Here is a 19,441-nt window from a genome sequence, read left to right as displayed (position 1 = left end):
AATGCTAAATATAATAAGGCTTTCTAATAGAGACTTGCTGGGTTGATGCCCAGGTGAACATACCTCTTTAGATGGGGCTCCTCTGAAGACCACAGCATGACTTTCTAGAATTTCTCTAGTTATAAGTAAGGGGTTAAAAAGAAAAACACCACTCTCCCATCAGGGATGTCACTATCTAATTAACTTTCTTTAAATTTTTTTTTAATTATTTCAGTTCTTATTAAAGCCTTTGTCTTCAGTCCTGAAACATTCAGCCTATAAAATCTCAAGCTACAAGATATCATTTCTCAGTGTTATTTCCAGGGCTTAAAATCTTATCACTGGCTATGAGAACTAGTAAAAGGCCTATAGACAATAAAGGTATGTTAAAGTCTGTGCTGTCATTTATATAAAAGAGAAATGTATGCAGTGAGATAAACACTGTCTTTTGAGCTATGAAGTTATCTTTCATTATATCAGCCCGCATATTTTATTAATTTTAATTATCTATGCAATTGTTGGCACAAAATTAACAGGTTGAAGAGATTGGGGACAATGGACTTTTGGCTGATTTGGCAAAGATCTGCTTTGGAAAAGTGTGCCTTATGACTTGATTTGAATTGGCACACTTTACAGAAGAAAAAAAGAAGACATATTCAGGATCCAGATTATTGTACTTGGTAAAAGCTGAGTTCCCTGGAGGTTTCCAGAACACCAGTTAAGGGTTATGCAGAGGAGCAATACATGGCCTTTGTAACTCTTCACTGTGAAATTCCAGGAGCATCCTACCGCAGGCAGGCAAAAGCTGAGCAGAAGGTGTTCATAGCCAGTCTATTCAGTCATTCTCATTCACTTCCTTGTATAAGTTTGGAGGGAGGATATATCCAGGTTTACCAACTGAGAGTATTTTGTATAATAAAAACCAGAAAAGTACAGCCCCAACTAGTTGAAAAAACAAAAGGTTCTTTTGACTGATGTTCCTGACAAATCTAAAGGCATGACCAAGCTTAGCCCTGGTTGGAGCAAGAGGTTAAAAACCAGGTGAGCAGGACCCAATTTGTTTTTCACTCACTTTTCAAGATGGCTGCTAAAAGCTCCATGATTCCTTTTCCACACTCTGCATGAAAGCAAGGTTCTCTGTTCCAGAGTTCCCAGCAAAAGTGCTCAAGTTAATTGGCCTAGTTGAATTGCTTGGCTAAACTAATTACCATAAATGAGGGAAGGGAAGCTCCAGGTGATTTGGGGCCTGGATCAGAGCCCAGCCCCAAGCCAGCTCACATGGCAGGAAACTAGGATGCTCTGGTGTACGCCACCAAACCACCCCGTAGCAGCAGAGGTGGGCACAATCCCAGGCAGCCCTTTCCATTGCCACAAACCCAGTCATAACATGGAGAACTAAGAAGGGAGGTTGGAAAGTGTGTGCAGGATGAAGCATGCCCATACATCCTGGCTTTTATCTCCTCATGGGAAGGAGAATTCCCAAATCTGCTGCCTTCATCTGTAACCCAAGTGTAGGAATGATTTAGAGAGGTGAGTCTATGGGAGAAAGAATGGTAAGGAGAGACGAAAGAAGCTCTGAGGCCCTCTAGTTTTTGGCTGATATGTTTTTTTTTTCAGAGGAATGATTTAACTCAGGAACAGCCTCAAATAGCATCTTCATTTATAGTAGCAAGCTGACTAATTTTCTTCAGAATCCATTTAGGGTTTCTGTTACCAAGGTAGGCTTGAAAGTGTAGCTTCAGGTGAGAACACTTACTCACAGATGCTGAAAGTGAGAAATATTACATTTTTATCTCCACATAATTACTATGTGTGTCTTCACAATTCTATATTAATAGTATAGTGAAACATAGGGAGAAAGCATGCACTCATGAACAGGAAATGTTTGATCTTACAACATTTTCCATGTGTTTATAAAGGGTGTGTGTATGTGTGTGTGTAGAGTAATAACTCTAGAAAACATCTAGAAATATAGATATGCTTTTGACAAAGAAGTAACTGTTTTGATTGCTTAGAATAGAGTTAATTGTGAGGCCCCAAATAAATATAGCTTAAGAAATACAAAATGAAGCCATATCTAGTCCTTAGTTCAGATCTCAAATATTTAGTCATTAATGAATGATTTTTGATGGGAATTTATGACAGTGTTCCAGATTCACAACATGATTCTCTAGGCTTTCAATTATTTTCTCTTTCAACCGTAAGAGCTATTTTAGCTGATTTTTATTATTATTACTCTCTTCTGCTTGTCAGCCTGAGAGTTTGCATAATGAAAACAGCCAATGTGTGTCATGAATCATTTGCATATAAATCCTGACAAATCCAACACAGGGCTACAAAAACTGGTCGTATACAAAAGATGGGTTGGACTTATAAAATAAACACAATTCACAAATTAAGTAATCATGTAATTCACTCCTTGTTTTTTCTGATTTTTTTTTTTTTTCCAGAACCGAATGGAGGAAAGCAAGGCTCTCTTTAGAACAATTATCACATACCCCTGGTTCCAGAACTCCTCGGTTATTCTGTTCTTAAACAAGAAAGATCTTCTAGAGGAGAAAATCATGTATTCCCATCTAGTCGACTACTTCCCAGAATATGATGGTAAGTCAGCACTCATACCACAGCTCAGTAGCTGTGAATAGGTTTTGTCTCCAAACCCCAGTGTGGGAGTTAACGCACTACAGTGCACCATTGCTGCCCTTGCCCTGTGCAGCCTGCGTGTTGAAACTGATACAGTAGGAATTCTTGTTTGCCCTGTCTTTTAGTGACACAAAACATTGCATTCCTTAACAATGCTAAAAGTCATAGAAAAAGAAACTCATGGCTGGGCACAGTGGCGAGCGCCTGTAATCCCAGCACTTTGGGAGGCCGAGGCAGGCGGATCACGAGGTCAAGCGATCGAGACCATCCTGGTCAACATGGTGAAACCCCGTTTCTACTAAAAATATAAAAATTAGCTGGGCGTGGTGGCAGGCACCTGTAGTCCCAGCTTCTCGGGAGGCTGAGGCAGGAGAATTGCTTGAACCCGGGAGGCGGAGGTTGCAGTGAGCCAAGATCGCGCCACTGCACTCCAGCCTGGCAACAGAGCAAGACTCTGTCTAAAAAAAAAAGAAAAGAAACTCATCTGCTTTGAAATAGCAGATCAGAAAAAGGAACAATCCAGTAGTTTTGACCAATTGTGTATTAACTCTTATAGTCCCCTCTGTGTCTCCCTTTCATTTGGTTACCGTCCACCTCTGCCTCTCCTCTCTCTGGGGAGGAACACAATTTTGAAGTTAAGAGCCCACCACTGAAATCAGTCTATCAAGGTTGAGATCCCAGTTCTGACACTTCCTATTTGTAGAACTACCATCAAGTCACTTGATTTTTCTGGGCCTTACGACCAAACTCATAGGATTGTTTTGTGCACTGTAGTATATAACATATGTGTACGTTTAGCATGATGCCTGACACGTAGGACACTTATGAATACTCAGGAAATACTTCCTTTTTTGAAACTTCATAGCCCAATGAAGTCCCACCACCATTACTAATAGTAACCCAGTGTTAAGCTCTTTGTGCAGCACTTAGAATCTATAGCATCCACTTCACTACTCCTATGGCTCTGCATTATTTGCTTTGTTCTTAGAAAAGGATCTTACCCTCCCCAACTAGACTGTGAAATCCTGGACAACTAGACACCCAACCCATTCTGAGAAACACTTGAACACTTGGTGATTGGTAACAAAATGCATCCACATGTAGCCACTATGTAAAACAAGTGAGAGTCACGACTGCTGCCCTATAAGAGTCTATGTGGCCAGGTGTGGTGATTCACACCTGTAATCCCAGCACTTTGGGAGACTGAGGTGAGAGGATCACTTGAGCACAGGAGTTCAAGCCCAGCCTGGGCAATGTAACGAGACCTCTATCTATAAAAAATGAGGCAGGAGTTGGCAAGAGGTCAAGACTGCAATGAGCCATGATCCTGCCACTATACTCCTGCCTGGGTGATGGGAGACCCTGTCTCAAAAAAAAAAAAAAAAAAGTTTATTTATTTGGCAAGATAATCACATCTCTCCCTTATGGCCCACCACCTGGTTTTATGAATAAAGTTTTATTGAGACATAGCCACACCCATTCATTATACACTGTCTATGGCTGCTTTCACACCATAACAGCAGAATTGGATAATTGTGACAGAGATAGAATTGTTTGCAAAGCCTCAATTACTCTGTGGCCCTTTACAGAGAAAGTTTGCCAAGCCGTGGTCTAGATAGTTAAGAGCACAAGCTCTGAAAAGTTCCACTTTGCCACTCACTGTCTGTGTTGCCTCAGACAAATTTATTTAGCTACTCAGTTTATCCCTGGGCAAGAAAGAATTGAATGGAATCATACATATATCACATAGCAGAAACCCAAAAGTATCTACCATAGAGGTGATATAACAACAAGAGAAGAGACTATTTTTAAAATTACATTGTCAACATATGATATCCAGGATGGATATCATTCCACAGTGTTTTTGTACTTACTAAAAGCTTCCTCAGAAAAGTAATTACTTTAAAAACCAAGATTAAATTTAGCTTCATAGCTTTCTATGATGATACAAACACATCAGGGATGGAGGTTTAGTCATCTTTTCATCCCACATGGAATGTGGTACAGTCCTGGCTCATGAAAGGGAAATGTTACATGTTAAATGAATTGAAGTTCCCTTCTCAAATACATGTAAGATCCTGAAGGTTGGTGAATTGAAAATATAAACATTTGTGGATGTCACCAGATGTTAGAAATGGTACCTTTTGTTAGCATTGTGTTCATATCCTCTCTTCAAGTACATTTTCCTTTGTGCTTTGCTGTTCTTTGAAAAACACTTTCTCAGTCTAAACAGTGTTTTCTCTTTCACTCCTTTTAATTTGCACTAGCCCGGAAACAAATCATCAATGCCTGAGACTGCACTTCTCAGTGTTGCTCAGAAAACTATGGAAGGAAGTGACTGTGTGGGTAGTTAACTTGCTTTCCCACCTCAAGCTTCAAACACATCTACCTGAATACAGTAGGCATGAAACATCTGGCTTAGATCTAAACACGCTTGCCTGCCACACACACACACACACTCGAGGTTCTTCTTAATTTTTCTTGGAACTTGGTAAGAATCAGCGTGTGAGAAATTGCCACACCATACACAACACCCCATCTTGTGGGCTGGCACGTTTTCATGATGTGCTTGCATAAGGGAGGATGCAGAACAGATAGAGCATGGTGCCCACGGAGGTGAACCCTTCTGAGGGGTTCATTCAAACTTCTCAGATGCAGCATACCTAGCCACACTTCACAGTTGCTGATTTTTCCGCAATAAAAGACTTAGTTTGTGATCAGTGCTTGCAGTGCTGTTTTTTGATCTCTGCACCATCTTCCTAATCTCTTCACGTACCTCCTTTCTCCAATAATTTCCCCAGATTCCCCACCACTACAAGCATTTTCCTTCCAGCATGTGCCCATTGTGAATATTCTGAAATCTGAAGACTTTTTTTTTTTTTTTTTTTTTTTTTTACTGTTACCTTACCCCAGTATACATATAATGCACAGAGGAAACTTGGCCACAGAAAAAGAAAAAAGACATTGATTTTGTTATTACAAAGCCAGCGCAGCAGTCATTACGTGAAACTCCAAGCCCTTGTAAGATGAGCAAACACTGAAAAAATTGAGGCCCACTCTGCAGTGATGTTTTTGTAATAAGCATGTTTATAGTATTATAAATTTCACACTTCCACATTTCTATACTTACAAGGTCTTAATCATAATGAATGCCATTTCTGTATTTCTCTTCAAGAAAGGAAATTACCCTTTCCACATGGACTTGAATTGCAAGATTGTTCATAGAGACTGTGGAATTCTGCTCCTGCTGTGATGGCTGTAATGAGTTCTTTGTAGTGTATGTTTATTCAGATAACAATTTATGCTTAAAAACATAACACTTTTCAAGTACACTTCAGTGAACTTGGATCTAGTTCTTATATTCTGTAGGGTAAATAAAAAAGAAAAAAAAAAGGTATAGTCCCTTCCTTCCCAAATAGAGTAAGTACAAAATCATACAGAAGTTCATTCAGAAGCCAGAAATATAATGTTCTTTTTATGAAATGAGAGACTTCTCCAGCTCTGGTAATCTGTTACTTTCTGGTTTTGAATAGTTTTTATTACTTCTCTGGAGTTAATAGTACATTGAAAAAGATGGAACATTAATTATATATATATTTGCTTGTATATATACTTTACATATTGTTTTTAATTGTACTTTTTATCTATTAAATATGATGCCAGCCCTCTTAGTCATTAAAAAAATTGAATTCTGGGCACCTACATCAAAAATTCAACATTACTTTTTTAAATTGTACAAATGAGGATAGTCTATTTGTTTTTATAATTCTTTCCTCCCATCTTCTGGCATTATCAGATATAAGTTTATTGGAGTAATCTCCAATTTATAAAAAGGTTGGTTTGAGAATAATTCAAGTCAGCTGTCTGAAGCTCAGGGTGCATTTTGTTAGAAATGGTGGTCAAGCCCTCAATAGAGTTCTGCAAGATCTCTTTATCCCTACTAGTAGGTAACAAGAATATTGATGATAGAAAAAAACCTGCTGGGTGTGGTGGCTCACGCCTGTAATCTCAGCACTTTGGGAGGCCAAGGTGGGCGGATCCCTTGAGGCCAGGAGTTGAAGACCAGCCTGGTCAACATGGCAAAACCCTGTCTCTTCTCTTCTAAAAATACAAAAATTAGCTGGGCATGGTGGTGCACGCCTGTAGTCCCAGCTACCCACGAGGCTGAGGCAGGAGATTTCGCTTGAACCCAGGAGGTGGAGGTTGCAGTGAGCCAAGATCATGGCACTGCACTCCAGCCTGGGCAACACAGTGAAACTCTGTCTCAAGGAAAAAAAAAAGTTTCTTATTGCTTGGTATAGAACTAACTTGAAAAAATAGGAGGAAATGCATATATAAAGCAACACAAAGACAGATATATGATACGTATCCAATACTTGAAAGGTGATGGTGTTTTGATGTTATTTACAGTAAGTTTTAAGTTAATATATCTATCGGTACCTATTAAATACACTTTTAAAACAGCTTTATTGAGATTATTTATATACCATGTAATTCACTTATTTAAAGTGTACAATTCAGTGGGTTTTGATATAGTACTTTTTTTAATTATAAAATTTGCCATTTTAACATTTTTAAGTGCACAATTCATAAAAGGCATTAATTACACTCACAATACTGTGCAGCCATCACCAGTATTTTCAAAATATTTTCACCACCCCAATTAAGCAGCAACACCCCATTTCCTTCCTCCCCCTAACCCTTGGAAACCTCTAATCTACTTTCTGTCTTTATGAGTTTACCAATTCTAAGTACGTCATATGTGTGCAAGCATACAATATTTGTTATTTTATGTTGGGTTTATTTATTATAATGTTCTCACAGTTCATGCATATTACAGCATCTGTCAGAGCTTTACTCTTTTTTATGGCTGAATAATATTCTTTTTGTTTCTGATATTCTGATATTCTGTTTGGTTTGGTTTTGTTTCTCCATGTATCTGTTGATGGACACTTGGATTGTTTTCGCCTTTTAGCTGTTGTTAACAATGCTGCTATTAAAATTGATGTACATTGCTTCTTGCCCTTTTGACTAAGATCAAGTGTCTATCAGAGCCCCTGCTCTCAATTCCTTTAGATATATACATTGGAGTAGACTAGCAGGGTCGGTCATATGGTTATTCTATGTTTAGCTTTTTGAGGAACCACCAAACTGTTTTCACAGCAGCTGCACCTTTGTACATTCCCAACAGTGCACAAGAGTACAAATCTCTCCATATTTTCCCAAACCCTTGTTAATTTTATAGCCATGCTAGTAGATGTGGAGAGGTCTGTCACTGTGGTTTTGATATGCATTTTTCTAAATGATTACCATTATTGAGCATCTTTTCCTGTGCTTATTGACCATTTGTATATCTTCTTTAGAAAAATGTCTGTTCAAGTCTTTTGCCTATTTTTTAATTGGGTTTTTTGTTATTGAATTGTAGGAGCTCTTTATATATTCTGGACACTAAACGCCTATCAGATGACATGATTTGTAAATATTTTCTCCCATTCTATAGATTGGCTTTTCACTTTCTTAATAATGGCCTTGGCCAGGTGTGGTAGCTCATGCTTATAATCCCAGCACTTTGGGAGGCTGAAGTGGGAGGACTGCTTGAGGCCAGAAGTTCAAGACAACATAGTGATACCCCCATCTTTACAAAAAGTTTAAAAATTAGCCAGGCTTGGTGGCACCTATAGTTTCAGCTATTCAGGAGGCTGAGGCAAGAGGATCACTTGAACCCAGAAGGTTGAGGCTGCAGTGAGCCATGATCATTCCACTACACTGTAGCCTGGGTAGCAGAGCAAGACCCTGTCTCAAAAAAAAAAAAAAAAAAAAAGTCCTTAGATACATAAAGTTTTTAATTTTGATGAAGTCCAATTTATTTTTTCTTTTGTGAAAAATATGACCTGTGCTGTGGTGTCATATCTAAGAATCCATTGCAAAATTACATTTTTAGTTTATCTTGCTAGATATGTCACAATCCTTTTTCAAAGCATCTAGGAGAATTCTTGGTACATAAGAGACTCCTTCTTAAATCAATGTAAGAAAATATAGGTTGGGCACAGTGGCTCACACCTGTAATCCCAGCACTTTGGGAGGCCAAGGCGGGTGGATCACCTGAGATTAGGAGTTTGAGAACAGCCTGGCCAACATGGCAAAACCTTGTCTCTACTAAAAATATAAAAATTAGCCAAGCATGATGGCAGGCACCAGTAATCCCAGCTGCTCAGGAGGCTGAGGCAAGAGAATCGCTTGAACCTGGGAGGCAGAGGTTGCAGTGAGCTGAGATCTTATCACTGCACTCTTACCTGGGCAACAGAATGAGACTCCATCTCAAAAAAAAAAAAAGAAAAGAAAATATAAACCAATTGTTTTATCATCACACATGAACTGAATGCTACACAAATGTAGTGTGCTCAGAAATACCAGAAATCTATGGAAGTGAGACTGTTACAGAGGCCCATTGTAGATAGACCTGACCTTACAAACAGGTGTTCTAAGAGAGATGTCAGTCTGGAAGATGTAAAATGATCCATAATATTGGGTCGTTTGGAGGACAGATTGACAGGAGAGCCCGAGGCAGCTGTATCTTTGTGCACACTTATTATATAGCTGAAACAAGCATACTTAACTCAGTTGAACAGAAGTAAGCTATCACTCCCCTGATGAAGAGCCTACAGTGGCTCCCAATCACTCAGGGAATCAGAGTGAAGGCCAAGCTAAGAAATAAACTTAGCCTTGGCTTTCAAGTCATCTGTCTGCTTTCACCTATCCACATTTTGTGAATGGGTGGGTGCCTGGGTGGGTGGATGGATGGTCAGACATAGCAGTGTTAGGGAAAATGATTATAACAGATCAAATCTGCAGTGCAGATGTAGGCTTCATGAGCAATGACACAGTATTTATTGAACCAATGATGATTGAATACATTAGCAGATTAGGTAACAAAGTGTCCCTCTTGTCTCTTGGCCGAAAGGACCCCAGAGAGATGCCCAGGCAGCCCGAGAATTCATTCTGAAGATGTTCGTGGACCTGAACCCAGACAGTGACAAAATTATCTACTCCCACTTCACGTGCGCCACAGACACCGAGAATATCCGCTTTGTCTTTGCTGCCGTCAAGGACACCATCCTCCAGTTGAACCTGAAGGAGTACAATCTGGTCTAATTGTGCCTCCTAGACACCCGCCCTGCCCTTCCCTGGTGGGCTATTGAAGATACACAAGAGGGACTGTATTTCTGTGGAAAACAATTTGCATAATACTAATTTATTGCCGTCCTGGACTCTGTGTGAGCGTGTCCACAGAGTTTGTAGTAAATATTATGATTTTATTTAAACTATTCAGAGGAAAAACAGAGGATGCTGAAGTACAGTCCCAGCACATTTCCTCTCTATCTTTTTTTTAGGCAAAACCTTGTGACTCAGTGTATTTTAAATTCTCAGTCATGCACTCACAAAGATAAGACTTGTTTCTTTCTGTCTCTCTCTCTTTTTCTTTTCTATGGAGCAAAACAAAGCTGATTTCCCTTTTTTCTTCCCCCGCTAATTCATACCTCCCTCCTGATGTTTTTCCCAGGTTACAATGGCCTTTATCCTAGTTCCATTCTTGGTCAAGTTTTTCTCTCAAATGATACAGTCAGGACACATCGTTCGATTTAAGCCATCATCAGCTTAATTTAAGTTTGTAGTTTTTGCTGAAGGATTATATGTATTAATACTTACGGTTTTAAATGTGTTGCTTTGGATACACACATAGTTTCTTTTTTAATAGAATATACTGTCTTGTCTCACTTTGGACTGGGACAGTGGATGCCCATCTAAAAGTTAAGTGTCATTTCTTTTAGATGTTTACCTTCAGCCATAGCTTGATTGCTCAGAGAAATATGCAGAAGGCAGGATCAAAGACACACAGGAGTCCTTTCTTTTGAAATGCCACGTGCCATTGTCTTTCCTCCCTTCTTTGCTTCTTTTTCTTACCCTCTCTTTCAATTGCAGATGCCAAAAAAGATGCCAACAGACACTACATTACCCTAATGGCTGCTACCCAGAACCTTTTTATAGGTTGTTCTTAATTTTTTTGTTGTTGTTGTTCAAGCTTTTCCTTTCTTTTTTTTCTTGGTGTTTGGGCCACGATTTTAAAATGACTTTTATTATGGGTATGTGTTGCCAAAGCTGGCTTTTTGTCAAATAAAATGAATACGAACTTAAAAAATAAAAGCTGGTATCTTAAAATGTAAGAGAGTAAGACTGTGAAGCCTAAAATGACTGGCTGAGAATGAACCAGAAATGCCATTTGCCAAACAGTTGTAACTAGAAATTTGATTCTCACGGTCCATTCTTTTCTTTGTCCTTAAGATGACATTGTTAGTGTTCACGTCCCATGTTCAGTGTCCAAACCGGCAATGTAAAAAGTATCCTGTGTGGTTTAACAGGAAATCTGTTTATGTCTCTTTATTTGAAACCAGTTTTACTCTCAGTGGTTCTTTAAGTTCAATGAAGTCTGCCAGGAACATTGGTTGGTAGTATTATTCCGACACCTTTAATTTCCAAAATCTGAAGTTCCTGCTAGTTTACCACCTTCATGATCTTCTTGAACTGGTAACTGATTAGGTTGAACTTATGGAAGATTTGTGGACTTAACTCAAAAGTAACCTCTCAGTGTTCTATAGAACATGTATTTGTGTAACTGAACCTACCAGGAGAAATGTTTGGAATTCTATATGTGCAATTTTTCAACAAATGCAAAAAAAATACAGCACATGTATTGACAAGCTTCTGTCAAGCAGCTTGAGTTGAAATTTGATTTAAGAAAATAAATCATGATTGTTCAAAGCTGCTGGGACGTTAGAATTAGGCCATGATACTGGTCTCATTTTAACTACAGTGGTATTTGGCACTAGTGTAAACTTCCATATAAATCACTCTTTTGGAACAACAAAGGGGGAGGGAGAAAAATCACGGCCTGTTAAATGAGTACCAAAGCCGCCCAACAGTAATGAGATGTTCTCATCCTTGATTCTCCCAGCCTCAAACAACACAGCTTACTTTTTTTTTCCCTTGCTCAGAAAGTACCTGTAATTTAACAAACAGACTGCCTGTAGGTATAGTGCAATTACAAATGCTCTAATCATTGTACATACATCTCTCTTGATATTGCAGCATCCATACTGGCTTTGTAATCATTAATTTTTTGGCAGATTGAATGTGCTGTATTGATATGTATCTATGTAATTGTATTGTATGTCTATAGCTAATTCACGTTTTGAATAATGTTATTTTATTTACTTTTTTAAGAGAGGAGAATGTAAATTTGTCAGTTTATTTCTGACTAGGGATATTTTCTTTCCATTTAGAAAAGAAGAAAAAAAAAAAACCTTACTGTCATACAGAGCGGTACTAGCGTCGTGCTGTATAAAATCATTTGCACATTCCTGAGTAGAGGTATACTGATTATAAGACCCAAAGGTAATTTCATAGCAAAATACATAAAATCAGTCGGAGCTTTTATACAAACATGGAAACCAACTTTGTAGAACTTTTGCCATTTGATCTAGGATTGGAATATGAGCTTTTATACAATTCATATTCTTATTTGGCAAATGCACAGTTTAGTATTACCTCTCTGATGGCCTTTACTAGAAAGGCAGTTTTAGAAGCTATTGTGATCCACTAAGGAAATGTTTTAACAGCTAGAGACCACTGCTTGCCTGAAAGGGCGTTCTTAAATTTGGTGCAGCAAAAAAAAAAAAAAAAAAAAAAAAAATTAAACAACAACATTTGAAGGCCTACAGTGTGTATAGAGAAAACCTCATCACAAGATCATAAGTGTTACAGTTTTAGGGAATCAAGATATTCTATTTAATAGAGCTATAGTAAATGTAGTCAATTAAACCTGATCTCAAAGCTTGAAGAAGCTGAGCAAAACAGGGAAAGATTGTTATATTTGTCTTTATGAAATTGGGATGGAATTTGCTATGCAGAATTGAGGTTTGTGGCTTCGCTGTTCCTGTAGGGTGCATGACAAGATCCCTTCTCTTGAGAAAGGAAAAAATTGATCACCCTAGCAGCAGTGATGCATAGAAACCTAATTTTAGCCACACCAGTCAATCGAAGCTAAAGGATTTTCTTTTTTGTTTCTTCGGGGTTTTATTGAAGGGGCTAGGGGCGGGACGGGATTCTTTTCAGTTTTGTATAAAAACAAAGTTTACTCATGCTTTATATTATATTGTGATTGCAAGCGTTATAAGCGTGTGCCACTGGCCTCCTATTGTTGATGCTTAGGTAATGGAGGCCTGTGGTGAGTTTTATGGTGACTTGGGCATGTCTTATTCAAAAACAAAAACATAAAACACAGAAACCTTTCTTCAGCATACCAAGGCAAGCAGCCATTTCATGACTCACTTAACACATTGCAGTGTACCAGTTTACAGATGATTTTTCCCTTTTTGCGTGACATGGCAGTTCTAACCCCCAGAGAATTCCTTATTTGTAAATTGGAAGTTTCTACTATGCCTTACAGAGCTTAAATTCAGAAGTTTGTGCCTCATATCTGAAACAAAGGGAAATAACACACCCATTCAAAAGTAAATAAATCTCCTAGAAGTTTTTGTTTTTAACATTTCCATATAAAGAGCTCTGTTGAATGTCATGAATAGACTGGAAAAAAAAATTTTAAGAACCTGCATATGTTGTTTACTAGCAGATGACAACTACAAAAGGAATCTGAAGAACACGTAAAACTTGTATTTTTTTTTTTTTGGTAGATTAACTAGCAGGCCTATTTTAAAAAGGTAATTCAGCTAAAGGGCAATTTACTTTTTTGTACTTCAGACTATCTTGATTGTCAAAGTGTACGAACTGTAATTTTAAAATTTATACTGCCACATGATTGTAAATTTTAGTTGTCTTAAGTTAGGAATTGGTGAAAAGCTATTTATGCTGGATTTGGGTCAAAATGACTTATTTGCAAAAAAATAAATAATGGGAAGAAAGGGCTGTATAATGAAATACTGCAAGACTCACATATTGGTTGGAAATTTCCCTCAAATCACCTACCGATTACCCTTGATTTCCCTTTGTTTTCAGTTTCTCAAAACGAATGAAATGAAATATAGCAGAATGTTAACCCATATAAAAATAAAGTGTACCCAAATATTGTAATGTATATTGCTGCTCTTCTTCAAATTAAATAAGGGTTTAAAACCACTTAATTGGTAATCAACATCTCAATTGATACAAATAAGGTGTGCTTGGTATACATTAATATTTTCTTCCAAAGATATATCTTTGGTTAGAAACACAAAAAAATAAAACTAGTAATATTGTATGTTTATCTATCTCTACATATTTCCAGCATATGTAGCGTTAATAGATCTGTCCTGGTAACTGTGTCTTTGGGATTTCATTTTGGTTCCATCAAATTAGGAAAAGAAATGGCTTAGTTGTATATGATTAGCTAGAGATTTTTGGAGCCAGACACCTGCTGTTTAGTAGATAACTTAGTACAGACCCTAAACTTGTCATTTGTTTTTCTCACAGAATAGCCATTTCCTGCTGTCTTCCCAATGATCACTGCCCTTTCAATAACACTCTTGCCTCTAGAATCATATGTTCAAAGTATGAATACACACCTAGCACATAGTAGGTGCTCAAATATTAATTTCCTCCTTGCCTTCCTTATCTACCCTGTGTCCTCCATTTCCCCGTATGATTCCAACCCAATATAGCAAATGACATTTACATGTTATGAAAACATCTATTGGGTAAAATCAGATCTTGGATAAAGAAATTCTGACTTTTATATAAGCTTTTGGTAGACAGAAAAAACAGAAAGGTATTCGTTGGTAGAACATTTTTAAGTTCAGGAAAGAAAGCTGGAATAATACTACGTAACTTTGTCCAGGTTACTTTGACTGAAACACGTTTTTGGTGGATTTCTTTTCCTCAAAGAACTCTCTAAATGCAACTCCTTGCTGGATTCCTCACCCATCATCCTGTTGGAAACCCTTACTAGACCTATGTATTTAGGGAGTTTTGTCAGAAAACATTTTTAACTTGCAGTATTTAAAAGAATATTTACTGTTCCTAAAATGTCATTCAAATGCATGTACTGTCTATTGTTTGGGGATGGGAACTAGTTTTGCAAAAAACACCTAATGTTGTATAATAATGCCCCAATGATCTTGCTGGTTAAAAATACAGTATTTTTGGCCATAATTTTGTACTATAGTATTCTTCATTGTTGAGTTTTGCTTCCATTAAAGTTGCCCGAGCCCCTCTCAGAATGTTTTGTATTAGTAGGAGTACTGAAATACATCTTTCCTTCCTTAACACACCTTGTGCATATTGCATTTTCCAAAATAAACAAGTTTAATGGTTTCAAAAAAAAAAAAACACCAAAAAACCTTTTCCCTTCTGTGTATAATCAGAAATAAGAGTCTCCTGTAGTGGAAATACACATATTGGTAGCATTTATCAAATTTGCTCTTTGAAAAAACTTGCCTTAATTTAGGTTATAATTAACTGGTTAAAAAAAAAAGTAAATACCTATCCAATAAAGAAAGGAGCCAGCAATCTTCAACCTGAGGCAGTCTCCCAATCAGTAAAAAGAATCCACACATCTGCCCTGGTTTACTGGGTAGCACACTGGACTCAGGCCAATGGCTGGCTTAAGAGTTTTGCCCATTTCAACACTGGCAGTGAATAGGTAGACTCCACATGGGAAAAATGACATGTCACAGGTGTCCTCTCTGAGTTTTAGAAACACATCCAGGCTTTTGAGGTCAGCTAAAAATCAGCTGCTCCTGGGAGTTTTATTAAGTGGAGGTGATGGTGGCAAGTGGCTTTCTGGAAAATAGGTACTTTTGTGGGGACTTTAAGCCACAGCAAAAGCAAAACCTGTTCCTGTTACTCCAACTGGCAGCCAGCCCTTGCTTATGGATTTTTGTTTTTCAGAATATGTCCCCTCTAAATACTAAGAGATGAGAGTGTCATTTTTGCTTAAAGGCCTTCAGCTCTCCTTGTGTGATTTAGAGACCATTTCCAGTAGATGGTATTCTCTCTCTCTGTCTTAACTGTTCAAGGAATGGCGTGGCACTGACTGTCATCTAGCACAGGCCTGGAGTGATGGTTCCCACACCCTAGTTCTGCAGAGACACTGGAGTGTTAAGCTATACAGGAGCACTCCCCTCTCTTTGGCCTTCTAACCTGAGTTTGACCCCTTTAGGACCATGATCTATTTGTACCATCATTCCAAAGACCCCCACCCAGAGGAAAAAACACAAACTCACTAAACAGTCATTGGGCCAAATATTTAACTTGACCTTTTGGCTCATAGAGCAAGCCTATGCCATCAGATTGTCTTCTGTCCTGTCTTTCTGGAAATGGTAACAAAACAGTTGGCTTGAAAGCTTCTCTGCTTTACTCCCCATCTTTCCTGCCTTCTCACATTTTTCTCTCAGGTTGTGATGCCCTGAGTCCTGCCTCTTGAGAGACAATTAAGCCATAGCAAAAAGGTGGAACTTGATGCTAAGGAACAACCAGGTACACTGCATAATGTGTGCAGAGCAATTTCAGATGGTAAACTAGCCAGTTTCTTGCTTTTTTGTCTAATTTCAAATGATTATCATACTCATGAGTTTCTCCATATTTGAAGCTCTTATTGAAATTTGATCAGGGGTGGAGAGTGAAAGGCAGTGGTTAGAAGTGGCTTTCTGGCTGATTTGTTTTAAATTACGCATTATCGTTATTTTTTTTTGTTTCATTGTCATGGCTGACTAAAACATGGATCCAGCTATTACAAGGAGCTATATCCAGTCTGTTTTAAGGGAGTCCCGTAGATTCCTGCAAAACAAGACCCTGGTTATAAAATGTAGGTCTCTTTAAAATCTAAGATGCATAGAGAGTACTGAAAAGATTATTTTCCCTTTGAATTCTTATGCCTCAAGACTATTGGAATTTGATCTCTGTTGATTTTTCTCTCTTCCTGTTTTCCTCAAGAATGCAAAGGCCAGAATATTTTTCTGTCTCATAAGCCTGTGGATAAAATAAGGCAACTTACCCTCTTTAATTAAGAGTAATCACACTGAACCATACTAACAGAGAGCTGGAAGGCAGGGCTCCCAGGTTTCAGCCCTTTCGTAGCCCTAGAGATGTTTTTGCAACTCAGGAGACTAGGCCTGTCCCACAGAGATAGACTGCTTAAAGGGCCCTGGGGACTCTCCATCTGTTTCCAGTTTGCTCCGTGTGCTTTTATGTTGGGTCTTAAAAGCATCTTAAAAGGACCAGGAAGAGACAAGGTCTGCAAATGGAGATTCCACACTGTGTCCAGCTGCCAGGACGCTAACGTAGCTGCTGCTAAGACTGTGTCTGCCCTGAGGCAGACCTCACCTAGGAGGGCATATCTGTTAGGAATCCTGGCACTGCCTGCCAACCTACTGTCCAGTCAGGGCACCAGCCAGTCATGCCTGAAGTACAGGTGCCATGTCAGGGGTTATAGCATCAATGGTTATATTCTAGGAATCTGAGCAGTCTTAGCAAAAGGGACCAGCTTGCTTTTGTCACTGAACTTGGAGTTGAGAAGAGATGCTGACACCTGGCTCTCAAAGTGCCCTGCATGCCATCCTCAGGTGCTTTAGGTGATGCCTTTCTGTAAACCTGGAGAGTGTCAGCAGGAAAGACCACCCTGGCTTACTGCACCAGAAACATATGCATTCCCTCCCCTGTGACTCAGACCCAATGACCAAAAAGCAAACTGGCCCCATACCCATGATGGGCTCTGACAAGTGGCGGCTCTGCTGGAAATACAAAATATTTAAACTCAAAAGGAATCAGTTTGGGTAGCAAATTTAACTAATACGTGTGTGTGCGTGTGCGTGTGTGTGTGTGTGTGTTTAATGTCTCAGCATCTCCAACCAACTCAATCATTGCTGAATAAAGAGGAAAACCCCACACAAATGTTTATGTCAATTGGGTAAAATCAATCCTAATATTTTTAAAAACATAGTCTCTACACATACGTGGGTACACATGTAAAATCTCAAAATGGTTTTATCTTGACGCTGTGTACACAGATACACGTGTACAAATATCCGCACATCTATACAGTGAGGCTTGCTTATCCCTATGGTTATAAGCATTTTATCTCATGGAAGGTAATTCTTCATATTGACATGATTGAGACTAAAAGTATCATAAAATCCACAGCTCACGTTTTCTTTTTTAAAAAACTGTTCTCTCACCGCTCTTTTCAAAACTCTGCCTTAATCTAGGAAAGAATACCTAATTATTGCACTTTTTTTTTTTTTAAATTGTTTTAGGAGAGTTGAACTTAGACTGGGGTTTCTCTGTCTCTGGGCAATGAGGGGATGTATTTCCAGCAGACAGGAAGAGTCTCAGACCAGGTACAAAAACTGGATGAAATGTCTGTCTCATTACGAAAGCCACACTTTAGATGCACATTCCTGTAGATGTTATCGTTTCCATTCCTGAGTTAAGTCTTCTCTGTGTAGATTGCTCACTTCCTACTACAGATGATGAATTGCCAGAACACCAGGCACATACCACACAGCTTGTACAGAACTACAGACTCAGAACAGACAGTTTGGGGACTGTGTTCTTCTATAATTATTCTTCAACCTGCTGGAGGTGCCTCGCTGCACGTTCCATACCCACTAGTCCACCCAGGGGGTTGCTGCAGGCAGTTCAGGGCAGGAGCCCCCTGCACCCTTCTAGCATTCCCTGGCCACCAGCCAAAAACCAGGAGTTGATGCCTCAGGAGTGACACGACCAGTGGGGGACAGGAGTCCGTGGATACACGCTTCTGCTGTTGGCCCTCAGTAGATAAACCTGAGTTTCATCCTACAGGTCTCTCTAGGGCCCCCAGAGCAGGACTCAGCCCCAGCTGTTATCAGTGAAACTTGCTCGCGAATGTACCCTTTATTGGCTTCTCTCTCCTGGTGGTCTTGCTTGTGCACTCTCTTGTGGTTCTTTATGACATCACTTCTCAAATTCATTGCACCCAAACTCCTAACACAGGACCTACTCTGGGGGAAATCTCAACTAAGACAGGATCAACGGATGGCTTTCATTGTCAAAGACAATGGAATAATCAACAGGCCATAACTGAGACTAGTAAACACTTTGCCTTGAATGGACTACCAGCTGCAGCTGATGGTTAAGGTTCAAGATTAGTACCTGGAACCCTAGCATAACATGAATTTGCCACAAAGGCCCACAGTGGGAGATTCTGTGGTGAGAGATATGTAGATACACAGACACACACCTGTACTAATATAATCTATACAATATGACACAACTTATTCAATACAAATTTATACAATAATATACTTATGAAAAAATTTATGTTTCTTAGAAGTTACATGTAGAGACCGGGCATGGTGACTCATGCCTGTAATCCCAGCACTTTGGGAGGCCAAGGCAGGTGGATCATTTGAGGTCAGGAGTTCGAGATGAGCCTGGCCAACATGATGAAACTTTGTCTCTACTAAAAATACAAAATTAGCCGGGCGTGGTGGCTCACACCTGTAATCCCAGCTACTAGGGAGGCTAAAGTAGGAGAATTGCCTGAACCCGCGAGGCAGAGGTTGCATTAAGCCAAGATCACTCCACTGCACTCCACTCCAGCTTGGGCGACAGAGTAAGACTCTCTCAAAAAAAAAAAAAGAAAAGAAAAAAAGTTACTTCTACAGCATTTTAAAGAGATAAGTTAATAGTTAATAATCATTATTTTAGAGGTAGAGATGGGGGTCTTACCATGTTGCCTAGGCTGGTCTTGAACTCCTGGCCTCAAGCGATCTCCCCAGGAACTTGGTCT

General features: G+C 39.0%; 1 protein-coding gene across 3 annotated transcripts in view; it reads left to right on the top strand.

The window, feature by feature from the left end:
- Positions 1–15,000, top strand: part of GNAQ (G protein subunit alpha q) — a 315,715-nt gene extending 300,715 nt beyond the window's left edge. For all 3 annotated transcript variants that reach the window (NM_002072.5, XM_047423239.1, XM_047423240.1), the window contains exons 6-7: positions 2,430–2,583; positions 9,584–15,000. In NM_002072.5, coding sequence (NP_002063.2) covers positions 2,430–2,583; positions 9,584–9,774 — 345 coding nt within the window. In that variant the 3' untranslated portion in view covers positions 9,775–15,000. The remainder of the gene's footprint in view (positions 1–2,429; positions 2,584–9,583) is intronic.

The sequence above is a fragment of the Homo sapiens genome, chromosome 9 (genome assembly GCF_000001405.40).
Source record: "Homo sapiens chromosome 9, GRCh38.p14 Primary Assembly".
In the NCBI taxonomy this organism is placed as follows: domain Eukaryota; kingdom Metazoa; phylum Chordata; class Mammalia; order Primates; family Hominidae; genus Homo; species Homo sapiens.
The sequence above is the reverse complement of the archived record's forward strand: the minus strand, read 5'-3'. Positions and strand labels throughout refer to the sequence as shown.